At 41.2% G+C, this 25,099-nt stretch overlaps 1 protein-coding gene across 4 annotated transcripts in view, besides 2 other annotated features; it reads left to right on the top strand.

The window, feature by feature from the left end:
* The window catches only part of MCUR1 (mitochondrial calcium uniporter regulator 1), a 28,001-nt gene extending 8,181 nt beyond the window's left edge, over window positions 1-19,820 (top strand). For 2 of the 4 annotated variants that reach the window (NM_001031713.4, XM_047419249.1), the window contains exons 3-9: window positions 4,031-4,134; window positions 4,988-5,089; window positions 5,995-6,036; window positions 7,473-7,544; window positions 12,430-12,483; window positions 14,385-14,499; window positions 15,513-19,820. In NM_001031713.4, coding sequence (NP_001026883.1) covers window positions 4,031-4,134; window positions 4,988-5,089; window positions 5,995-6,036; window positions 7,473-7,544; window positions 12,430-12,483; window positions 14,385-14,499; window positions 15,513-15,568 — 545 coding nt within the window. In that variant the 3' untranslated portion in view covers window positions 15,569-19,820. Of the gene's footprint in view, window positions 1-4,030; window positions 4,135-4,987; window positions 5,090-5,994; window positions 6,037-7,472; window positions 7,545-12,338; window positions 12,484-14,384; window positions 14,500-15,512 lie in introns of all 4 variants that reach the window. The other 2 variants (XR_007059329.1, XM_011514802.2) reach the window with 2 other exon arrangements.
* Window positions 17,056-17,224: a silencer, noted in NCBI's record as "fragment chr6:13789385-13789553 (GRCh37/hg19 assembly coordinates)". NCBI's record gives its function as "represses an EF-1alpha promoter that drives an FKBP-Casp9 reporter gene in an ReSE screen in both phorbol 12-myristate 13-acetate-treated (for megakaryocytic differentiation) and untreated K562 erythroleukemia cells {active_cell/tissue: K562 | K562(+PMA)}" and the evidence as "EXISTENCE:reporter gene assay evidence [ECO:0000049][PMID:32094911]".
* Window positions 17,893-18,725: an enhancer, noted in NCBI's record as "H3K27ac-H3K4me1 hESC enhancer chr6:13787884-13788716 (GRCh37/hg19 assembly coordinates)". NCBI's record gives its function as "activates a minimal SCP1, AML or CMV promoter by ChIP-STARR-seq in naive H9 embryonic stem cells {active_cell/tissue: H9 hESC(naive)}" and the evidence as "EXISTENCE:reporter gene assay evidence [ECO:0000049][PMID:30033119]".
* Window positions 19,821-25,099: the final 5,279 nt, after the last annotated feature.

Below are 25,099 nucleotides of genomic sequence, written 5' to 3'. Positions count from 1 at the left end.
TTTTATTACTGTGCATCTTGTGTGCTTTTTAAAATCCTGTGAAATTGAAATGTTGCTGAGTAGCAGTTCTTGATAATTTCAACTTACTGTTCTTTTTTCTTTTTTCTTTTTCTTTCTTTTTTTTTGAGATGGAGTCTCGCCCTGTCACCCAGGCTGGAGTGCAATGGCGCGATCTCGGCTCACTGCAACCTCCACCTCGGGTTCAAGCGATTCTCCTGCCTCAGCCTCCTGAGTAGCTGAGATTATAGGCACGAGCCTCCACGCCCAGCTAATTTTTGTGTTTTTCATAGAGATGGGGTTTCACCATGTTGGCCAGGCTGGTCTCGAACTCCTGACCTTGTGATCTGCCCGCCTCAGCCTCCTAAAGTGCTGGGATTACAGGAGTGAGCCACCGCGCCCAGCCCTCTTTTTTCTTTTTAATACTCAGGCTAACATTCTTCGTTATTGCTGTTAAGATAAAAGATTGTTCTGGTATATATGGCATTCATTGAAAATGCACTTTAGACTTAGAATGTAGGGAACATTCTCATACTAAATCATATTTAGACAAATACACCGATTATAATTCTCTATATGGTGACACATTCTCAAAAATCAGAATTTCAAAATAGTGTAAATTATGCTTGTGAAATAAATTTGCCTGTGCTTTTACTTCATTGTGTAGTTATTTGTCCAGTTGTACATGTTTGTGTCAGAAAAGCTACTCTCTGTAGAGGTACTTTACATGCCTAAGACAAAGTGACGGAATGAATTATTCTGTGCTTTGTGGGAGACAGCAGCTCTGGGCTCGAGCCTAACCCTGCAGACTTCTAGTTGCCTAGCTTAGGAAGCTTTTTTCCCCTTCTCAGTTTCCATTTATTTGCCCATCTATAGTATGAGTGTAATACGAATTCCAAAGACCTTTTTGAATATTAAACAAGATAATACGCATGAATGAACTTTGGAAAAACTGTCATATGCTGTGTAATAATTTTCACAACTTTTCCTGTCAAACAGTAGGCTTTTTTCGCCAAAACTTCTTTCAGTACAGAATTTAAAAGAGAAAAGTAGAAGCGAGAAGGGAGCATGTAAAGTTATGCTGATAAGGCCAGGCGAGGTGGCTCATGCCTGTAATCCCAGCACTTCAGGAGGCTGAGGTGGGAGGATGGCTTGAACCCAGGAGTTCAAGACCAGTCTGTGCAACATAGTGAGAGCCTGACTCTACCAAAAAAAAAAAAAAATTGATAAGCAGAAGTCTTCCTAGTTTTCTTGATTTTAAACCTTAACCCATGGTTATTTGCATCTTTCAAGACTGTGGTGTGAGGGCCACACTGCAGTACGTGGTATGGAGGGGCTGTTCAATCCAACATGGATGAGTTGGGGGTGTCTGAGATGACTGGCTGAGTAGGAGGCCAGGAAGGACTTTTCAAGGCATATTCTACCCTTTCTTTATCCAGACCTGTGTCTTCAGGTTAACAAAATTTCTCATATGCCTGTCATCTCACCCTGGTTCTGTCCTATTCCCTCGTGTCTACAAAAAATTAATTTCTGCCTCATAACTCAGTAGGTTTTCAGACTTCCACTTTTTTTTTTTTTTTTTTTTTTTTGGAGACAGAGTCTGGCTCTGTCTTCCAGGCTGGAGTACAGTGGCACAATCTCGGCTCACTGCAAGCTCCACCTCCCGGGTTCATGCCATTCTCCTGCCTCAGGCTTCCGAGTACCTAAGACTACAAGTAGCTGGGACTACAGGCGCCTGCCACAACGCCTGGCTAATTTTTTGTATTTTTAGTAGAGACGGGGTTTCACTGTGTTAGCCAGGATGGTCTCGATCTCCTGACCTCGTGATCCGCCCGCCTCGGCCTCCCAAAGTGCTGGGATTACAGGCGTGAGCCACCGCGCCCGGCCAAGACTTCTACTTTTTCATATCCCTTTCTCCTCCCACAAGTGGTTATAAAGTATATGGCTTTAGAGTTTGTTTTACAATCAACATAAGTTCTCTTTCTACCTTTATTTTTCTTTTCCTCATCATTGCCAAACCTAATTTTTTTCTTTTTTTTTTTTTTTTTTTTTTTTTTGAGACAGAATCTCACTCTTTCATCCAGGCTGGAGTGCAGTGGCACAGTCTTGGCCTACTGCAACCCCCACCTCCCGGTTTCAAGCGATCCTCCCACCTCATCCTCCTGAGTAGCTGGGATTACAGGCATGCACCACCACACCTGGATAATTTTTCTGTATTTTTACTAGAGACGGGGTTTCACCATGTTGGCCAGGCTGGTCTCAAACTGCTGACCTCAAGTGATCCACCCACCTTGGCCTCCTAAAGTGCTGGGATTACAGGCGTGAACCACTGTGTCCAGTTGCCAAACCTAATTATGTTTAAACATGAACTCTTTTTTTAATTAAAATTTTTTAAAATTTTATTTACATTAAAATGGAGATGGGATCACTATGTTGCCCATGCTGGTTCTGAACTCCTGGGCTCAAAGATCCTCCCGCCTTGGTCTCCCAGAGTGTTAGGATTACAGGCGTGAGCCACCACACCCAGCCAGTGAACTCTTCTTAATAAAACTTTAAAATTTGGCAAAAGTTTAGTTTGAGTTTTTAAAAACTAGGAAGACAGACGAGAAAAAAGAAAACAGAGTCAGAGCTAAACAATGTTAACATTTTGGTGAGTAACCTTTTGTATTTTTTTTCTAGACATGTGTATAACATGTTGAAAAATTAAAGAATTTTGACGAAAGTGATGGGAATAGGTCTTTGGAGGTTTTTTTCCTTCTCCTTTAAATCTGTGTCTTTGGTTTTTTTGTTCATTATAGTCCCATGCTTCATCTCAGCCACACAAATTCCATTAATTAAGTACTACTTTATTCCAAGAAATACACAATTAATTACAGGAATCAATAGATTCTTCTGAAATTCTTATAGCTGGAAGCATTTAATAGAACTATTTCCCAGGCACTCAGTTTTAAGCATTTAATTAGAATTTATGTTAAATAGGAGTTACTATCCAATGTTTTTAAAAACAATACCAAGTACTGGCCAGGCGTGGTGGCTTGCGCCTGTAATCCCAGCACGTTGGGAGGCCAAGGCGGGCAGATCACCTGAGGTCGGGAGTTCGAGAACAGCCTGACCAACACGGAGAAACTTCATCTCTACTGAAAATACAAAATTAGCTGGGCATGGTGGCGCATGCCTGTAATTCCAGCTACTCCGGAGTCTGAGGCAGGAGAATGGCTTGAACCCGGGAGGTGGAGGTTGCTGTGAGCTGAGATCGCGCCATTGCACTCCAGCCTGGGCAACAAGAGCGAAACTCTGTCTCAAAAAAAAAAAAATACCAAGTACTGCATTGAATCTCTATCATTCAATTCAGTATCATTTATTGACTACCAAAGAACATATTTTTTCTACTTTGGGTCCCCCAGACTAGTTACTGAAGAGAATTGTGGAGGAAAAATGAAAGAACTGATTTTGTCTTTTAACATGAAGTTAGCCAACAGCTAGATTACTATTTATATAGTCAATGATTTGACTGCCTTATGCTGGACATAAAACAACTGAGCTTTCCTATTTAAGGAAATTATTTTTTAATAATGTACACATTATAAAATTAAAGAAATATTGTCCACCGTAGAAAATCTACATAATGCAGAGAAACATAAAGAAGAAAATAAAAATGACTATGAATTTTTGTTAAATTATAAAAACAAGAATTGCATCTGTAATTTTGAGTCTTGCCTTTTTTCACTTGATGTTGACTTGCCGGCATTGTCTATGTCATTAAATAGTCTCTGAAAACATGACTTTTGATAGCTAGGAACGACTTACAGATCAGTCAGCAAAGCCACCGGTACCTGGGGAAGCCAACTTGTATGTTTCGTGCTTGCTCTGAGTGACCGGCACGTCATAGTTTGTGGCTGTACCCTCCTCCCTGCCTCCTACCACACTGTGCTGTACTCTTCCTCCTGGATTTGGACATTCACATGAATGTGTGCATTTGCTGTGGGCTTTTGTAACTCTGAGCATGATTTTTTTTGCTTGTGTGCTTGCTTAGGGTTTGCTACTCAACAAGCAGAAATCATTGTGTCTGCATTGGTCAAGATCCTGGAGGCCAACATGGACATCGTCTACAAAGATATGGTCACCAAGATGCAGCAGGTTAGCCTTGTTGGGTGGTTTAGCAAATTAGGACTGTGAAGATGGGGTATTATTTGTAGTAATGTTTTAATATAATTTTTTGGATAATACCCCGTTGAAAAGTATATAGTAACTTTTACCATGATTAAGAGGCAAAAGATTACAGTGGCATAAAAAATACTTACTCAGAACTATTTAGTCAACAGTTGTAGAATCGTTATGCTTGAAAGCTCACTGTTCAAAATTATTCCAGTGAAATATACTTTAATAAATGGAGACGTGGCCTGAATTGTAGTATTATAGCATCATGTTCTCGAGTCTTCACATCACCACCCTTTTAGCTGTGATTCACTTGGTAACAATAACCAGATATGTGGTTTTTGTTTTTTTGTGTTTTGGGGGGGTCTTTTTGAGACAGGGTATCACTCATTTGCCCAGGCTGGAGTGCAGTGGTGCAGTCTCAGCTCACTGCAGCCTCGTTGACCTCCTGGGTTCAAGTGATCCTCCCACATCAGCCTCCCAAGTAGCTGGGACTACAGCCGTGCACTGCTACAGCTGGCTAATTTTTGTACTTTTGGTAGAGATGGGGTTTCACCATGTTGCTTAAGCTGGTCTCGAACTCCTTGGCTCAAGTGATCCACCTGCCTTGGCCTCCCCAGGTATTGGGATTACAGGTGTGAGCCACCTTGCCTGGCCAGATATGTGTTGTTTTTTTCTTTTCCTTTTCCCCTTTTGGAATAAAGGATGACCCTACTGAACCTCTTTTTGTGTCCACATTGTCCTGGTTTCTCAATAAGAAGATAGCACATTGAGATGATAGGAAGTGGACTTTTTAGGGTAGACTAGATTATGTGTTTTGTTTTTCTTTTCCTAGGAAATCACTTTTCAGCAAGTAATGTCTCAGATTGCGAATGTGAAAAAGGATATGATTATTTTGGAGAAGAGTGAATTTTCAGCCCTCAGAGCAGAAAATGAGGTAAAACAGAGCCTCTCACACTTAGAAAGTTGATTATATTAAGACATTGAGATAAATTATATACACATAAAAGAGCACACGTTAAGTGTACATCTCAGTGAATTTTCAAACAGTGTGCACTTCCAGTCAGATCGAGCAGGAAAACTTGCCCACTGTCCCAGAAGTCTCTCTCATGCCTCTCAGTTGCTCCTGCCCCAGAGGAAACGCTGTCCTGGCTGATAACACCATTAACTAGTTTCGCCTATTCTAGAACCATTTGATGGTATCATACTGTGTGTCTTGTAGCAAGAGATCATTTTTTTCATTGTCTATAGTCTTAACATCAATAGGCCCCATCATTTTATTGTAATGTGTATTAGAATTGTTTCCAGTTTTTGGTTATTTTGAATAATTGCTACTGCGAAATATCTCTTGTGTTTCTTTAAACAGAGCATATGGGATCAGCATTTAAATAAGTGCTGTCTATGCATTTTCCTTTTATTTTCGGTCCTATTTAAAGTCCCATAATAGGGAAGGCCATTTATTGCCTGTTGACCCTAGCCTTGTAAGAAACCTTCTAGCAAAAAGTAAAGTGGTAAAGTTTCAGACTCTCTAGGTTGTTCTTGAAATCAGTTATTTGAGGGTAGGATTAGTTAAAAGATAAACCGAAGGAGATACTAAATAAAGCAGGGTCACTGAAGGCAAATGTGTATGCCAAACACAACTGAGTTAACTTTACATAGCCTTCAAGATGAATTCAAACTGATTTCAAGATACGTGTGTTGTAATGCCATTCTGCAATCAATACGGTGTTCTGAATGAAGGAAAAACCTGAGGAACTTGTGCATAAATATGTATTGTAATATTTGTTGGTTACTACGTTTTATGTTGTTCTTTCTAATGACTTTTTTTTTATGTGTTTTTAGAAAATAAAACTCGAACTACATCAGTTAAAACAACAAGTAATGGTAAGATTCACTTTCCTGTTTGTTGGCTGGTTTGTAATTATATAAACTTATTAATAAGTATAATATTAGAAATGGATGTTTTTAAAAACTTAATTCTTTGTGAAATGTTTGTGTAATATGCCTCAAAAGTACACATTGGAAGATTTAGCTAAGAACACAGCCAATGAATGAATTACTGTTGTCTGTAACCATATTCATTAAGAAAATTGTGGCCAGGCATGGTGGCTCATGCCTGTAATCCCAGCACTTTGGGAGGCCGAGGTGGGTGGATCACCTGAGGTCAGGAGTTCAGACCAGCTTGGCCAACATAGTGAAACCCTGTCTCTACTAAAAATACAAAAATTAAGTGGGCATGGTGGCAGGTGCCTGTAATCCCAGCTACTTGGGAGACTGAGGCAGGAGAATCACTTGAACCCAGGAAGCAGAGGTTGCAGTGAGCCGAGATTGCGCCATTGCACTCCAGCCGTGGTAACAAGAACGAAACTGTCTCAAAAAAAAAAAAAAAAAAAAAAAGAAAATTGTGTTCTAGGAGGAATTAAGTCATTTTTAAGTAAAAGTTTTTCTAAAGTGCTGCACGGAAGGAACCCTTAAATTCTCTTAGACTGTCTTTAGAGAATCACACGTGATTTTTAAATGCTTACTGTGCCAGCTATTTAATGTTTTTTAAATAGAAAAAACATAGATGTTAAAGAAAAAAAGGCTTTGATATGTATCAGAGAAAAGGCTCTATGTAAACTGGATTTTAATATTTTGCTGCTTTGAGTCCATCTTTGCTTTCCAAAGTTGTTTAAGATCAGCTTTATTCATAAGTTCCATTCGGAGATTGTATGAGGAGTCTTGAGGTTAAAAGCAGCAACAGGCCGGGCGCGATGGCTCACGCCAGTACTCCCAGCACTTTGGGAGGCTGAGGTGGGTAGATCACAAGGTCAGGAGTTCAACACCAGCCTGACCAACATGGTGAAACCCCATCTCTACTAAACATACAAAAATTAGCCAGACGTGGTGGCATGCACCTATAATCCCAGCTACTCAGGAGGCTGGTACAGGAGAATTGCTTGAACGCAGGAGGCAGAAGTTGCGTGAGCAGAGATCACCCCATTGCACTCCAGCCTGGTTGACAGAGTGAGACTCCATCTCAAAAAAAAAAAAAAAATGGCAGCAACAACCCACTCTAGACTGGCATAAGCATAGAAGGGGGTTATTTGTGTCTAACTGGGAAGTCCTGGGACAGGCTGCCTCCAGATGTGGCTTGGCCAGAGTTCCCTGATGCCAGGAGGCCTAGGTCCATTTCTCTGGAAGCCCCTGGCTCTCTCCCTCCCTGGGTTGCCTCGCCTAGGATAGGGACAGTGGGGGCAGTGGTCCCAGTGTCACGTCCTCATAGAGTTTGGGTTTCTTACTTTGGATTTTTCCTTCTTTGTTGTTTGCCCTCCTTTTAGGATGAAGTGATCAAAGTCCGAACAGATACCAAATTAGACTTCAACCTAGAAAAGAGCAGAGTAAAAGAATTGGTACGTTCCTTTACTAAAAACACATTATGAATTAATTTATTTTTGGAATGGAATGCTTGGTTAAGCCTAAGTTTATGTACATGTCATAGGTACTGTTAAATATTTATCTGTTTATCAGTGTTAGGCTGTATTTTCTCTATTATAATAATTTTGGATTAAGACTTAAATTTGTTGCTTTCAAAAGTAACATTAAAATTAAACTCCTAGTCAAATTAGTCAGTTTGAATATTTGTTTCAGAAATATTAGAGATATGTTACATAGAGATTCATAAAGAAATTAAATGCAATCTTGATCTATTTAATACTGACTTAAATCTTCATAGGTCTTGATCTTGTAAAAGTTAAGTTGATTATTTCAGGCTTGAATAATAGTAAATTATTAACATTAAATAATATTAAATTATATACTGGAATTCAAGATTAAAACATTTCTGGCCGGGCGCGGTAGCTCACGCCTGTAATCCCACTACTTTGGGAGGCCAAGATGGGCAGATCACCTAAGGTCAGGAGTTCGAGGCAGCGTGCCTGCCCAACATGGTGAAACCCTGTCTGTACTAAAAATACAAAAAATAAGCCGGGCATGGTGGCGGGCACCTGTAATCCCAGCTACTCGGGAGGCTGAGGCAGGAGAATCGCTTGAACCCAGGAGGCAGAGGTTGCAGTGAGCTGAGATTGTGCCACTGCTCTCTAGCCTGGGTGACAAGAGCAAAACTCCATCTCAAAAAAAAAAAGAAAATTTCTATGTTGTCTTTTAAGTGCAGTGAGAAGTTGTGAGGGTATTTTGTTTTGTTTTCTATTTTTGTTTTTTTTGAGACAGAGTCTCAGTGTGTTGCCGAGGCCGGAGTGCAGTGGCACCGTGTCTGCCCACTGCAACCTCCGTCTCCTGGGTTTAAGCAATTCTCCTGCCTCAGCCTCCCGAGTAGCTGGGATTACAGACGCCACCACCACACCTGGCTAGTTTTTATATTTTTAGTAGAGACAGGGTTTCACCATGTTGGCCAGGCTGGTCTCAAACTCCTAACCTCAAGTGATCTGCCCACCTTGTCCTCCTAAAGTGCTGGGATCACTGGAGTGAGCCACTGCGCCTGGCCGGCAAGTGTGTTTTTTTTTTCTTTGTTTTTGTTTGAGGCGGAGTCTCGCTCTGTCACCCAGGCTGGAGTGCAGTGGTGTGATCTCAGCTCACTGCAAGCTTCGCCTCCCGGGTTCACGTCATTCTCCTGCCTCAGCCTCCAGAGTAGCTGGGACTACAGGCCCCTGCCACCACGCCCAGCTAATTTTTTGTATTTTTAGTAGAGACGGGGTTTCACCGTGTTAGCCAGGATGGTGTCGATCTCCTGACCTCGTGATCCGCCCACCTCGGCCTTCCAAAGTGCTGGGATTACTGGAGTGAGCCACCGCGCCCGGCCTAAGTGTGTTTTAATAAAGATATGTGTCGGGTTGCCTCTAGTGATTTTTAACCCTGTCTGAATATTCAGCCGTCTTCTTGCTCAGACTTTATTTGAATTTGGTAACATCAGGTGCCTTTTTTATTCTTAGCATAATGAGAAATAGGGCAGAGAGAGCATCTTGCACTAACACAAAACTGAATACACATGCAGAAACTGAGTACTCACAACTGTTTGTTGTTTTCTCATTTTTGACAATTTGCTTTTAGATAAAATGTGCTATAATGATAAGTGAAGCTAATACTGAAACTCAAAAAAGTAACCTACTTGTGTTTTGGAACTGCCACTGGATTTCAAGAGTTAATCCAAGCTTCGTTATACAAAATAATTATTAAGGCTGTGTTACCTGTCTTTCTAGTCTTACAACAACAGTCTCCACCCATAAAGATTAAATCACCTAGTGTTACTAAATAGTTACTGACTATAGCATGTCACTGGTGTCTGGAAGAGGAGAAACTCTTTTGGTTACCTTTATCTTTATGGGTTGTATACTCAGGAAGAACTGAATTCACTTGATATAGGAAAATGACTGTGTGTAGCTAACCAACCTGGGAAAAACTACATCAAGGACATCAGGAAATACAGGGCATGAATGTAGATTAAAGCCAGTGAATTTTTTTAAAATTTTATATGGAGTCATTTTAATAACATAACTAGGCTGATATATATGTACATTTTTCAATCATGTAACATTTAGATTTTACTCATTTTAAGTCATTAACATCATCCAGCAAACAAAAATTTTCCAGAAATTTTTTTCACAATTACAGTTTTAGTCTTTAAACCAAAATGAAAAAATTTCTGCCGGGCATGGTGGCTCACACCTGTAATCCCAGCACTTTGGGAGGTCAAGGTGGGTGGATCACCTGAGGTCAGGAGTTCGAGGCCAGCCTGGCCAACGTGGTGAAACCCTGTCTCTACCAAAAATACAAAAATTAGCCCAGCGTGATGGCCCACCTGTAGTCTCAGCTACTCGGGAGACTGAGGCAGAAGAATCATTTGAACCCAGGAGGCAGAGATTGCAGTGAGCCGAGATCACGCCACTGCACTCCAGCCTGGGTGACAGAGTGAGACCCTGTCTCAAAAAAAAAAAAAAGAAAAGAAAAAAAATGATGAAATTTCATTCTTGCAAATACTCATATTTTTAAATTATTGGATATATAGAGTGGATTCATTCAGTGTTCTTATAAGAAAAGTAAAGCTTATAATATTTTGCAGACTTGATAATGCAGCACTCAAAATACTTACCCTGATTTTATTTTACTTGAATTTACTAGTTAAATATGCTGATAAATATGATTTACATGTAATTACTTTATCTGGAATGACTATATTGACCTTAATCTCCAGAAAGCAACCAATGCACAGAGTTTCAATTAAATCCTGTCCATCATGATAGTAACTTTTTCTACATGACACAAAAGTGTCTGTGGTATATTTGAACAGTAACTGTGACTATGAATTGTTCTTATAGTCTTTTTTTAGTGTTTCATTATTTTAATTTCAGTGGGTTTTGGGGGAACAGGTGGTGTTTGGTTACATGAAGACGTTATTTAGAGGTGATTTCTGAGATTTTTGGTGCCCCCATCACCCTAGCAGCGTACACTGTACCCAATGTGTAGTCTTGCCCCTCACCCACCTCCTACCCTTTCCCCCAAGTCCTCAAAGTCCACTGTATCATCCTTTTGCCTTTGCATCATAGCTTAGCTCCCATCAAGCCAGTGAATTTATGTCATTTAGTAACCTAGCGGGGAGGTTGTTCTTGGTAATCATAAACTTGGATTACTCTGAAGCACAAGGCAGTAGTAAATTATACAGCGAGTGTGTTTGTAACATGCATTGGTGAAGATGAGTTTTCTGGCTCTCGTTCTTTCGGTAAAGTTATAATGTTAAATATTAAATTGCAAATTAACTATGATATTTACAGCCAGTTCCAAAAGCAGTATGGCATATAAACTTCTGGGGCATGGGGATATAGAGCTACATAGATGTTATTTTTAAAACCATGACAGCGTCAATATTTAGGCTCTTCTTTTGTGGGTGAGTCAATGTTGAGTTAATGAAGACTGAGGTTTAGTGGTGCACAAAATCTTGTTCCACGCCGCCCTCTAGTGGTGATCTGATGCATCGGGCTCTCCTGGTCTGAAACCCTGAGGTTTAAAGAGCATTGTTCTTGGTTTTACAACCTACTCCTTGGCTTAGGGTTTTGGGGTTTTTTGTTTTTGTTTTTGTTTCTCTTTCTCTTTTTTTTCTTTTTTTTTTTTCTACTTCTAAGCTCCCAGTAGTCCCAGGAGAATATTTTATAGCTAGGAAGTTTCTATATACTTCAAAGGATTAACTTTTTCTTTCTATAACAAGGTTAATGTAGTTCTTAAAAGTCGTCATTCAAATTACTGATTGTCATATGCTCAATTAAATCTTGTTGCCCACTACTAAGGAGATAAGTCTGATTTCAATCTTACTGTCTACAAAACTGCACTAAATCTTTTCACTGACATTAATAGCCAAAAGGCGAGATACTTTAACTCTGGGTAGAATTAGTTCCTTTAGTAACGCTGGATTATGGCTACGCCCAAGTGGGTTTTTTTATTGTTATTAAAACCAACATGTGCAGGAGGCTAAGGCAGGAGAATTGCTTGAACCTGGGAGGCAGAGGTTGCAGGGACCCCAGATCAAGCCACTGCACTCCAGCCTGGGAATAGAGTGAGACTCCATCTCAAAACAAAAAACCAAGCCAAAAAAAAAAAAACCCAACATGTGATGAGTTAGTGTATTTATGTATTTACATTGTATTTTATAATCACAACACAATGTCTTTGTCATAGAATAATAATCCTTGGCAGCTATTTGTTCCCCAACTTCATACCTTTTCTGTCTTTTGTTGAGACTCAAGTAGTGACGTGTTTTGCTACTAGTTATGATGGGATAGCTCCTAAATTGAGTTGAGTCTCCATTTTCAACCCTCTCAAAACCAAAAACCATATGACTCAGCATCCTTCGAAATTGGTCCCCAGGGAGTGCTACTACAATAGTGGGAGGGACCTAAAGACATCACAGGAAATATGCAGGGAGAAGTGACAGATGACTAAGGAAATCCAGATATTAGAGGAATGAGTAAGTATAAATAAGAAACTTTAGCCAGCACGGCAGGTCATGCTTGTAATCCCAGCACCTTGGGAGGCCGAGGTGGGCAGATTGCTCGAGCTCAGAAGTTTGAGACCAGCCTGGGCAACATGGCAAAGCCCCATCTCTATGGAAAAAAAAAAAAAAGAAACCTCAAGTAACACATATAAAGAAGCAGGTAGGCTACTTAATCCCAGAGGTGACTTTCTGGTGTTACGTATTCTAGGAGGTACTGAGACCAGAATATTTAAGGCACCAGAGAAGGAGAAGAGAGAGGAGTAGATCAGAATCTGACCCATGTTACGTGTTTATTTCAGTATTCATTGAACGAAAAGAAGCTGCTGGAATTGAGAACAGAAATAGTGGCATTGGTAAGAAACAAGACTGTGATTTTTCTTTGTCTTTGTACTCATCTTTGCTTCGTTCCATGCATGGTTGTTTGTAATGATAATAGGAAGTTACATGCAGGTTTACTGTCATGGGAATTTTTTACATTGTGCTAAAATACACACAACATAAAAATTAGGATCTTAACCATTTTTTAAGTGTACAGTTCAGTACATTTAAAGTACATTCACATTTTGGGGCAACCATCGCCACTGGCTATCACAGAACTCTTTATTTTGCAAAATTGAAACTCTGCACCCTTTATACATTCCCTTTTCCAGCCTCTGGTGACCTCCATTCTACTGTCTATGGATTTGACTATTCTACATACCTCATATAAATAGAATCATAGCATTTGTCTTTTTGTGGCTGGCTTATTTCACTTAACACAGTGTCCTGAAGGTTCATCCATGTTGTTGAAATGACAGGACTTTCTTCCTTTTTAAGGCTGATTAGTATTCCATTATATGTATATGCCACATTTTCTTTATTCGTCTGTCAAGGGCACTTGTGTTGCTTCCACCCGTTGGCCTTTGTGAATAGTGCTGCTGTGGGCATGGGTGCACAGATGTCTGTTGGGATCCCTGCTTTCAGTTCTTTTGGGTATATATGCAGAAGTGGAGTGTCACAGGATTTTTTGCACTTCACAAAGTGTTTGGTTATCGTAATGGAAGATAGTTATCCTATGAAAGATTTAAACTTTCTTAATGAAAGTTTCCTTTTCTTCTTTCTTTTTTTTTTTTTTTTTTTTTGAGGTGGGGTCTCGCTCTGTCACCCAGGCTGGAGTGCAGTGGCTCAATCTCAGCTCACTGCACCCTCCTTCACCTCAGCCTGTAGAGTAGCTGGGACCACAGGCTCACACCACCATGCCCTACTTGAGAGTTTGTTTTTCTTAACGGAAGTTTTATTAAGAAAGTTTAAATCTCAGTAATTGAAGAATAGTGAGGAATGGAGAAGTCTTATTCTATTTTTAATTTATAGCATACATTTCTCCTTTTCCATACTGTATGGAACCTGGGACCTCTGAAACCCCCAAGAGGCTTTCATGAGAGAATTCCAGAATCCTGGGATATTTCTCTGGAATACTTTTTTACGCATCCAGGCATTTATTTCTTTTTTTCTCTGCCTGAATTGGTAGCCATAGGGAAAGATTTAGTTGCTGTAGGAGTTTTAGTGAAGGATTCCCATGGTTTTTATGCTTTAATGCAGTTCTACAACCCCCTATAGCGTCGGCCAAACCCACTGCCTTTTTGAGGGTTGATTATGTGTCCAGTTTAACTGTATTGTATTTGGGGAAGGACACAAATTGGCCGTGGGTAGCCAAGCCTCATAGTAATGAAACACTTGATATTTGAACATGAAAGAAGAAAGTTTTTTAAAAATATGACTAGAAATAGCTCAAGACAAGCACTGCCGCTTTCACATTATCTAAGACTCCATTTCTTGAAAACATTTTTGAGTTTACTGTCTATCTTTGACTAAGGAGGATTTAGAAGGATGAGACGTAGCCGTTGCCTTTGAGAACAGACTGGCCTCATAATACCACATCATTTGTATAGCAACCTAGAGCTTACAAATGCTTTTTCACATAGATTATCGCATTTGATTCTCTAAACAGTCCAGGTAAAGGCAGGGCCACTGGCTTGGTTGTTTCGTTTTGTTCTGTTTTCATTTTTTCAAATAGAAGAAAACTAAGGCCTAGAGAGGTTAAGGGTCCTGACCAATGCAGCGTAGAATTAGGGTTTTAGAACTGAGACTAAAGCCCAGGCCTCCATAGTCTTACCCAGGTTTCCCTGTGACTGCACCCCGTTGGGAAGGAGCTATAGGATGGTGAGCAGAGGGGACGTGCTGTGGTCTAACGCTGTGACTCTCTTCATTTTAAAAGCATGCCCAGCAAGATCGGGCCCTTACCCAGACAGACAGGAAGATCGAAACTGAGGTTGCTGGCCTCAAAACCATGCTTGAGTCACACAAGCTTGATAATATTAAATATTTAGCAGGTAAGCTATTTTGTATCTATTTAAATCAACCTGAAAAGAAAATAAATTTATAAAATAAGTCGTTGACAGATACTGCATTTCATTGATTCCAACACTTTCTGAAATATTTTAACATCTCTGAAATTGGAAAGCATCTTACAATTTCCAGTAGATGAAGTATCATAGTTTAATTGGCACTTTTTCTTTCTTAGTAGTAAATAAAGTAATTGTGTACGTTATAATTGATAGAATTGGAAATTTGATAAGATACTATAATTGAACTATAGTTATTAGGGATTTTAATGAGATTCAAGACAGGAAATATTTTATGGATAAAATGGAAGGTGTTTCAGTTGTAATCTTTCTGCTTCAATTGCTTAAACTCCTTTTAAGGAGTTATTTTACTTTCGCGATTTTTGATCCAAAAGAGAGAATGAACATTCATGTACCACCCCCCACCCAAATTAACCATTATTTCAAGTCAGATTTAACGTCTTGGATTAATTAAATATTTTAAGGTTACAGCATTATTTAACAGTGAAATGTTGTTCTTTATATTAAATTGTGTCTTCCTGTCTCTATAGTGCATATACATAGACCTTGTGACCACAGAATTTTTGCTATTCGAAACTTTTATTGAAAAGTTTTCTTAGCCTAGGCAACACAGCGAGACCTAGTCTCTACAAAAAGATTTAGCCGGGCATGGTGTCATCTGCCTGTAGCTTCAGCTTCTTGGGAGGCTGAGGCAGGAGGGTCACTTGAGCCCGGGAGTTTGAGGCACAGTGAGCTGTAATCATACCATTGCATGGTGCACTCCTCCTGGGTACCAGATGAGACCATGTCTCTAAAATAAGAAAATAAAATAAAGGGTGTGGGATTTGTTTTTTCAGTAGGCAGGCGTTTCACGGAATATGGGACATCAGTGAGCAATCTAAGTTTCTAGGTTTTCTTTTTTAGGTTTTCTTAAAAAAAGATGTTCCCTCAAGTAACTCTTAATAGAACTAATAGTACTCTCAATTGTTTTTTTCTTACAGGGTCTATATTTACGTGCCTAACAGTAGCTCTGGGATTTTATCGCCTGTGGATCTAATAAAGTGTCTATTTAAAGTGATTTCTACTGTTTTGCCTTAAGAATACCAGATTGTTGGCTGGGTGCGGTGGCTCACACCTGTAATTCCAGCACTTTGGGAGGCTGAGGCAGGTGGATTACCTGAGGTCAGGAGTTCGAGACCAGCCTGGCCAACACGGTGAAACCCCGTCTCTACTAAAAAATTAAAACATTAGGCGGGCGTGGTGGCGGGCGCCTGTAGTCCCAGCTACTCGGGAGGCTAAGGTGTGAACCTGGGAGGCGGAGCTTGTAGTGAGCCGAGATCACGTCACTGCACTCCAGCCTGGGCAACAGAGCGAGACTCCGTCTCAAAAAAAAAAAAAAAACCGGAATACCAGATTGTTGTCCTTTTGTTTTCTTGTTACACATTTGAGCCCAGATTTTGACTTAATGTGTATTATTTATTTTTATGAAAATTGTGGACACATAACCAAGATAAAGAAGTCAGGTATTCCATAGCCATTCCTTATCTCCTTTCTGCTTAGTTGACTTTCTAGCTGAGTGGTGCACAGTGCATGGAAGATTCCACTTAGCCGGACCAGGAAGCTTGGTCTCATCTGTGGTGCACACCAACAGCAAACATTGATGTAATTCTCTACAACTTAATCTTTGGCACATAGAGGATTTGGGGGTCTCCATGTTCAGGGCACAATGGCTTTAATAAGTGCTGGAAAATCACTGAAGCTAAACCAAGAGCACCAGATCCTCTTTACCTAAATAACCAGTCTTTAACATGAGCTAGTCCCTGTACCATAGTATTGTTTCAGCTGTAGTTGGTTGTCATGTTAATAAGACAGCTGCACGTCTACCTTCTTTTCTTTTGATTTCCATTGTCTTGGTAAGTTATTGTTAGGGTTATTTTTAATGTGCCTTCCAGCCAGAAAAATCAGCTGTCTAAAGAAGCATTGCAATTGTAATGGGGACTCTTACCTCTTAGAATGCAAGATTTTCCCTCCTCCCTCCCTCTTCTCCATCTCTTTCCCTCATGATTTGAGAACTGTAATAATCCTCCACTGGTGGCATTACCTACCTAGAAAACCTGCTGATTCTTAGCATGGAACTTTGCTTCAGTTTGCAGGACAAAGTCTGCTTCCTTCCGGTCTTCATTTACTTTTTATACAAGGGATGCAGTCAGCTCTCCATGTATAAGATACCTAGATGATGGATACATATTTCATAAATGAAATTTATGTCATTAATGAATATCCCCTTGCCCACAACCAGCTCAGGCTTTCAAAATTCGAGAATGGTCATGCCACACAGCATTCTAATCTAGATGGATTAATTCTGTTGTTCAAAACATTCTCATACCTGCCTTTATATTGAAAACAAATTCTAGATACAACTGGGGTTATTCTGGAAAAGCACATTCTCACCTTTTTTTTTTTTTTGAGACGGAGTCTCGCACTGTCGCAGGGCTGGAGTGCATTGTCGTGATCTCTGCTCACTGCAACCTCTGCCTCCTGGGTTCAAGCGATTCTCCTGCCTCAGTCTCCTGAGTAGCTGGGATTACAGGTGCCCACCACCACGCCCAGCTAATTTTTGTATTTTTAGTAGAGATGAGGTTTCACCATGTTGGCCAGGCTGGTCTCTAACTCCTGACCTCGTGATTCACCCGCCTTGGTCTCCCAAAGTAGTGGGATTACAGGCGTGAGCCGCTGCGCCTGGCCCATTCTCATCTTATTCAAATTACTGGCACATGGGCAAGAGAGACAATGACATGGATAGAAGCTTTTCTGCCTTTCTCTGCACACACATACAGTGAAGGAACCACAGGCAGATTTTTTGATCAGTTTGGTGAATACATTGCTCGTTGTCACTGTTCCAACCACATTGGTAAAAAAAATAGTTACCTTTTGTCCTTTGGATGTCATGTCTAAACTTTGGAAAATATAAGTCATTGCCCTTTTAGAGAATGTTTGTGTAGTCCAAAGATTGTGAGCTCCATATAGTATGAAAATCAAGTACTTTTGCATGAGCAATAGCAGTTTCAAAGTGAAATATTATAATTTAATCTTTTTCAAGTAGATCAAAAATTCTTAACTGATTAATAAAATATTTTATCAATATATCATCCCCCTTTCAGAGAGAAGTCCCCAGAAGAGACAGCACACTTAGCAATTGCCCTCATTATTAAAGGCCTAGGTGAGTGGCATAAAGGGCCATATGCGATTATGTTTCAAGGTAAACATTACCTAACCTTGTGTGGGTTAAAAACAGTGAAGTGTCCTTGTATCCTGATAAAATTTTTTTTTAAATAACATGGTGGGTTGACATTTTTGCATCTGCTATAAGTTTTCTCACATGTCGTTCTTCCTGGTGAGAGCGGGCTGCATCATTCTGGCACTTAATTTGGGTGTTCGATTTTGCTATAGAGTTCTTTGCAGTACAGCATAGCCTCTTCTTGGCCTTGGGAACAGTGAACTCTTCTTTTGATGGTGTGGATTGCATGCATATCTGGAGAGAGGAGGGCTCAGGACTGTGTTCACTTTATTTGGTCAGATGTATTTTATTTGAAAACCATTTGAGCCCAAAATACAAGTGTACCCTTCCCACTTCTGGCTCAAGCACCCGTGAGCCGACTAGACGTAATATTAAAACTTACTGATGCTGGGTGCGGTGGCTCATGCCTATAATCCCAGCACTTTGGGAGGCCAAGGCAGGCAGATCACCTGAGGTCAGGAGTTGGAGACCAGACTGGCCAACATGACGAAATGCTCTCGCTACTAAAAATAGAAAAATTAGCCAGGCGTGGTGGCACACCCCTGTAATCCTAGCTACTCGGGAGGCTGAGACAGGAAAATTGCATGAACCTGGGAGGCAGAGGTTGCAGTGAGCAGAGATTACACCACTGCAACGAGACTCGGGCCCAGACGAGATCTGCCTGGGCGACACAGTGAGACTCTGTCTCAAAATAAATAAATAAGTAAATAGAACCTCCTGAGCTACCCTGGCTTATAAGGATTCAGATTACTTTAGGAAATTAGGCATTAGCACTAGGAGGGGGGAAGATGGCTGGCAAAACTTCTAGCTAGCAACCTATGTCTAGCACATGGGTAACTAACCATAGCGAGATCCTGAACACATATCCTCTAGGTGCAGGTGGAGGGAACGATGTCCAATACCTGAAGCAGAATCTCACATGGACGGAACGTCTGTATTTCCCTCTCCTGCACGAATCACTCATCATTCTTGGAGGGCTTCTCTGCATTCCTCCTTTTCTTCTCTCCCCTCCCCTGCCTTTTGTCTTTTCTAAAGAGTCTGAACTCCGATTTCCATGCTCTCCTGCTACATTAATAAGCAAAACCTGCTTGTGTGTACGGTTCTTTACTGGAAACATGACTTTTTGTTTCTGTATTGGTTTTACTGTCATCCAGTTTTCTAGTTTAATATCTAGCAAAACTAAATCTGAATGTACTCGCTTTTTCCGTTAAGTATGCCAAGCACCTCGGTTGAAAGGCTTGACTCAAACCAGAAGTCTTGCTGGAATTCGTCTCTGAACACTTGAAAAACAGAAACCCTGAGCCGCAACAAACATGCCTCTGTGTGTCGGGATTGCCTTTGTCTCTGCTTCCATGTGGCTTTTCCTTTTGTAGCTATGCTTAGTGACATAATCTTCCCTCTTCTAGCCTTCTCCTTTCAAGCCTGTCTGTTAATTAACCATGTCAGTATTGGCAAGCATTTATCTTCCCCCACCCTAACATGCAATCTTCTAAGAATTTTGCAAAATTCTAAACAAATATAGAGATGGTATATAGAATTCATATCTAGAAAACTTTGATTTTAATGTGAGCTTATCAAATTTGTTCTGGCTTTTTTGGCACTAAGGCAAAAACATGTTAACCAGAAATAATTTATTCTTCATGTATGTAAAATATTTGAGAATGTTTAGCCTTTTATTAGAATTTTATTTGGAAAATATTTATCTTTCTACACATTTTACACTTATGTTCCTTTGCTTATAACCCAATTTCTTAACTTTTTTGTTACTTAAGCAAATATCAATTATGTTTTATTATCTAATAAAGTGTAAGATTCTTACTATCTAAAATATTTAATTCTGTGTGACTAATATACTTTTCTGATCATTCAAATTGAATATGAAAAGCTAGAATAACTGTATTGCAACTGTTAATTCCAGCCAATTGTATAATGATAACACTGGTGAATTTCTAAGTAAATCTAATACTTGAAAATTTGGGTATACATAGAAAATAAATTTTAATATAATGTACAAAGTAACTTTTCATCATTCAAAAGAATTTCTTTAGCATGTTCATGTTATGAGTAATTTTATACAAGCTACTTGTTTGAGGGGAAATGATGAGGTTTAAATACAGGTTTTTAGAAATAGACAATTTTCTTTTTTTTTTTTCTTTTGAGACAAGATACTACTATTGCCTAGGCTGGATGGAGTGCATTGGCGCAGTCACTGCTCATGGCAGCCTCGACCTCCCAGGCTCAAGCGATCCTCCCACCTCAGCCTGGGACCCAAGTAGCTGGGACCACGGGCATGCGCCACCACACCCAGCTAATTTTTTTTCTATTCTTTGCAGAGATGGTGTCTCACTATGTTGCCCAGGCTGGTCTCAAACTTCTAGGCTTAAGCCATCCTCCTGCCTCAGCCTCCCAAGTGCTGGTACTACAGGCATGAGCCACTGCACCTGGCTGAGAAATACACAATTTTAAAAAATATCTGGCCGGGCACGGTTGGTCTTGTCTGTAATCCCAGTACTGTGAGAGGCCAAGGCGGGTGGGTCACTTGAGTCCTGGAGTTCGAGACCAGCCTGGCTAACATGGTGAAACCCTGTCTCTACAGAAAATAGAAAAATTAGCCGGATGTGGTGGCACACACCTGTAGTCCTAGCTACTCAGGAGGCTGAGATGGGAGGATGGCTTGAGCCCAGGAGGTAGAGGCTGCAGTGAGCTGTGGTTGTGCCACTGCACTCCAGCCTGGGTGACAGAGCCAGACCCTGTCTCAAAATAAAATAAAAATAGCTATAAGGATTCATGGAAATCCAAATCAGGCTAGCTTGAGCAGAAAAAAGAATATCCTTTTTTGGCTTATGTAACCAAGGTTCAGGAAGGACCAAAAAAATGCCATTGTGAGAACTCCCCTCTGCACCTCTTACCTTTGCTTCTTCTCTGGAGGGCATAATCCTCCTAGACCTACTTCTTCAAGCACAGAGAGCCTGTGTGTCTGCAGGAAACACCCAGTACATCCCCTTACAGCTTAATGATTAGTGAGCTCCACCCTGAAAAATCTTGGGAAGGAAATATCTAAAGCAAGCAGCTGGGGTCACAGGAAGCAGAAGGGTCCTCAGAGGGATGCACACTTCACCTTCCCTGAGGGCCTGTTGAGCAAATTCCCCACCTCCAAAAAATTGAGCTCTTCTTGAGTCAGCCTGTGTGGGTTGATCTTCAGTGTAATTAATACCTGCTCAGGAGGAGAGGAAAGGAACATCTCAGAAAAGGGGGTAAATGAAATACAGGTCTGGGCACGGTGGCTCACATCTGTAATCCCAGCTCTTTGGGAGGCCAAGGCAGGAGGATCACTTGAGGCCAGGAGTTCGAGACTAACCTGGACCACAAAGCAAGACCCTGTATCTAAAGTGAATGAATGAATGGTAGCCTGGAAATTTCAGTTACATCTCATTTTCTCCAACCAGAAATCTTGTACCAAAGTTAGAATCAAATAACTAGACTTGAGGGGGAACTGCAAAATTTCCAGAAGGCAACTAGCAGATGAGGTAGGCAAAGGCGGTAAATGATTTGCAAACTCAACCTTCAAGTTCAAAAATGGTGGGCAATGTGTTAGATTTTAGTCATCCTTCCACATCTCCCCTAGGTCCCCATTTCACATCAGTGGTAGGGGAACAAACTAAAAACCTTTTCTTTGCCTTGAGTTTTTTATTTCTTTTTCTTTTCCTTTTTTTTTTTTTTTTTTTGAGATGGAGTTTTGCTCTTGTCGCCCAGGCTGGAGTGCAGTGTTGTGATCTCGGCTCACTGCAACCTCTGCCTCTCGGGTTCAGGCAATTCTGCCTCAGTCTCCCAAGTAGCTGGGATTACAGGCGCCTGCCACCACGTCCGGCTAATTTTTGTATTTTTTGTAGAGACGGAGTTTCACCATGTTGGCCAGGCTGGTCATGAACTCCTGACCTCAAGTAATCCGCCCACCTCAGCCTCCCAAAGTGCTGAGATTAGAGGCGTGAGCCACCACTCATAGCCATGATTTCTTTTTCTTTTTTTTTTTTTTTTGAGACGGAGTCTCGCTCTGTCGCCCAGGCTGGCGTACAATGGCGCCATCTCGGCTCACTACAACCTCTGCCTCCTGGATTCAAGCGATTCTCCTGCCTCAGCCTCCTGAGTAACTGGGATTACAAGTGCCCGCCACCACGCCCAGCTAATTATTTTGTATTTTTAGTAAAGACGGGGTTTCACCATGTTGGCCAGGCTGGTCTCTAACTCCTGACCTCAGGTGATCTACCCACCTCGGCCTCCCAAAGTGCTAGGATTACAGGCGTGAGCCACCGCGCCTGGCTGATTTCTTTAAAACTAAGAAGATTGTCTTAAAGGCATTTTCTAGAAACAGCTTTCTCTCTGGCATCCCACAGCAGATCTCCTCCAGTTGTTCCGCTGCCCATTTTGTCTCCACCTTAACTCGGCAGTTTCTGTAGGAGGTTCTTGCCAAGGACCCAAGGAGGGTGGCCTTTGGGACACTGCAGAGGGTGGCCACTGTCAGCCACCAAGGTGTAAGCATCAGCATCCTTAAATAGAGATCAGTGAGATTTTGGTCTTCTTTTATATATCACAAATCTGCAGATAAGTATTTTTAGGCAACACCTTCCGCAATGAGTAGTTGAAACATGTAGGCATTTTATAAGGTCCCAACTTGCCCTTTCAGTTTAAACTAATTTTTTTGTTTGTTTGTTTGTTTGTTTTTTGTTTTGCACATACTCTATGTTTCGGTAAACTCTGATTGGTTGTCCATGATTCTGAAGGTTCAGGTCAGCTTAATGTTAAAGCCAGGAAGAGGCACTCCCGGTTTCAGCTTAGTGTGGCATTTCTGCAGTTAACGTCTTAACAACAAAGGTTTTAAAAATACTTCTTGCTCCGCCACCTCCAGGCTTCACAGTGTTCATTCCCCCAGTGGAAAAGACACAGTTGCTTCATAGCATCTTGTCCCCTACAGCATGAAAGTCAGTGTCTTTTCCTAACACAGAAGTATTTTGCTACTATTTGTCTTTTACATTTGTGTAGTATTTTATGGAGTGCATGAACCTCACAGCCTTCTGAGGGGCGCTGTAATAGAGAGTGTCTCTCTCTAACCTCAAGAATCTCTGTGAGGCCGGGCGCAGTGGCTCATGCCTGTAATCCCAACTCTTTGGGAGGCTGAGGTGGGTGGATCACAGGGTCAGGAGTTCAAGACCAGCCTGGCCAACATAGTGAAACCCCGTCTCTACTAAAAAATACAAAAAAATAAGCCAGGCATGGTGGCAGGTGCCTGTAATCCCAGCTACTCGGGAGGCTGAGGCAGGAGAATCACTTGAACCCGGGAGGCAGAGGTTGCAGTGAGCAGAGATTATGCCGTTGCACTCCAGCCCAGGCAATAGTGTGAGACTCTGTCTCAAAACAAAAAAGAATCTCTGTGAAAATTTGAACAGACTTCGTGAGGAAAAGATGGAGGCCTGGAGGATCAAGATACACAGTGACCTCATGAAAACGCTTACATGTATTTTGTTGACATTTGTATCCCGTGGATGCTGTCAACTGCAGTTAATGTGAAATGAGCAGTGGCTTACACCTAAGAACTTCTGTTTCTTAAATCTAAAATGGGTGATCCTCAGGGTTGGATTGGCAGCTCAACAGTGCCTACAAGGATTGGAGCTCCTTTGGTCTTTCCTTTCTTACCTTCCTATACGTGTCAGCTTTCAGCTTCAGGCTGGGGGTTTATCTGATCTCAAGGGGGCTACCACCGCTCCAGGCATCACATCCTCACGATAGCACCCAGAGGAGGGTGCTATCAAGAAGGGAGGGAGGTGCGAAAGGGCCCTTCTCATGTGTCTCTCTCCTTTAAATCAGGGAGAAAAATCTTTTCCAGAATCTTCCCTGCCACAGGAACCCCCGCGTGTCTCTTAGAACAGGATTGGGTCACACAGACTGGTTGCAAAATGGAATTTTTAGCTTTTTCCGCTCCTCTGGTAGGAGGTGGACAAGGAAGAAGAAGTTGGAAGTGGTTTTCGGATGGGCATTCATCAGCATTGGTTACCAGGTTCACAAAAATAAAACACAGGCTGCAAACTGAAGAGAACCATACAGCGAGTGTTAAGTTGCCATCGCTTAGTAGCTAGAAATACTGCAGAATGTCCCCTCCTTTGATTTCCAGTGTCATGTGGTAATTTCGGTTCATTCTGTTTCACATAATTTTACCAGCTCTCTACCGAATCTTAAATTACTTTTTTTAATGTTATGGCTAGTTTCTAGGACCCCACTATAGTTCTGGATTAACTCAGATGCTTGAGGGGAAAAAAAAAAAAGTTAACCAAAAAATCCACGGCCAGCACGGTGGCTTACGCCTGTAATCCCAGCACTTTGGGAAGGCAAGGGGTGGATCACCTGAGGTCAGGAGTTCGACACCAGCCTGTTCAACATGGAGAAACCCCGTCTCTACTAAAAATACAAAAATTAGCCAGGCGTGGTGGCATGCACCTGTAATCCCAGCTACTCGGGGGGCTGAAGCCAGGGGGCGGAGGTTACAGTGAGCTGAAATCATGCCACTGCACTCCAGGCTGGGTGAAAGAGCAAGACTCCATCTCAAAAAAAAAAAAAAAAAAAAAAAAATCCACATAGGCCGGGCGCGGAGGCTCACGCCTATAGTCCTAGCACTTTGAGAGGCCAAGGTGGGTGGATGGCTTTTGCTCAGGAGTTCGAGACCAGCCTGGGCAACATGGTGAAACACTGTCTCTACACAATATACAAAAATTAGCCAGGTGTGGTGGCATACACCTGTAGTCCCAGCTACTCAGGAGGCTGAGGTGGGAGGATCACTTGAGCCTGGGAGGTCAAGGCTGCAATGAGCCATGATTGTGCCACTGTACTCCAGCCTGGATGAAAGAGTGAGACCCTGTCTCAAAAAAAAAAAAAAAAAAAAAAAAGAATCCACATACACACTTGGGCATTTCTCAAAACTCACTGATTTATACAAAGGGACTTCAAAAAGTTTGTGGAAAAATGGAACTAGAAGATAAAAATTAAAAGTATAAACTTTATTTCTCAATATAAGCTTCATCAAGGTCAACACTCTTGTAAGCAATGATACCAGCCAGGTAGTCCATCCTTAAGGAACTGAGGGTCCTGGGAACTTAACCATATCAATGCAGTCTTTTTTATATTATTAACTGAAGAAAATTGGGTGCCCTTTACAGGTTTTTTGTTTTTTGGTTTTTTGTTTTTTGTTTTGAGACAGGGATTTGCTCCTTTGCCCAGGCTGGAGTGCAGTGGCGCAATCTCAGC

Source organism: Homo sapiens, chromosome 6 (genome assembly GCF_000001405.40).
Source record: "Homo sapiens chromosome 6, GRCh38.p14 Primary Assembly".
Taxonomy (NCBI): domain Eukaryota; kingdom Metazoa; phylum Chordata; class Mammalia; order Primates; family Hominidae; genus Homo; species Homo sapiens.
This window is presented reverse-complemented; position numbering and strand designations above follow the sequence as displayed.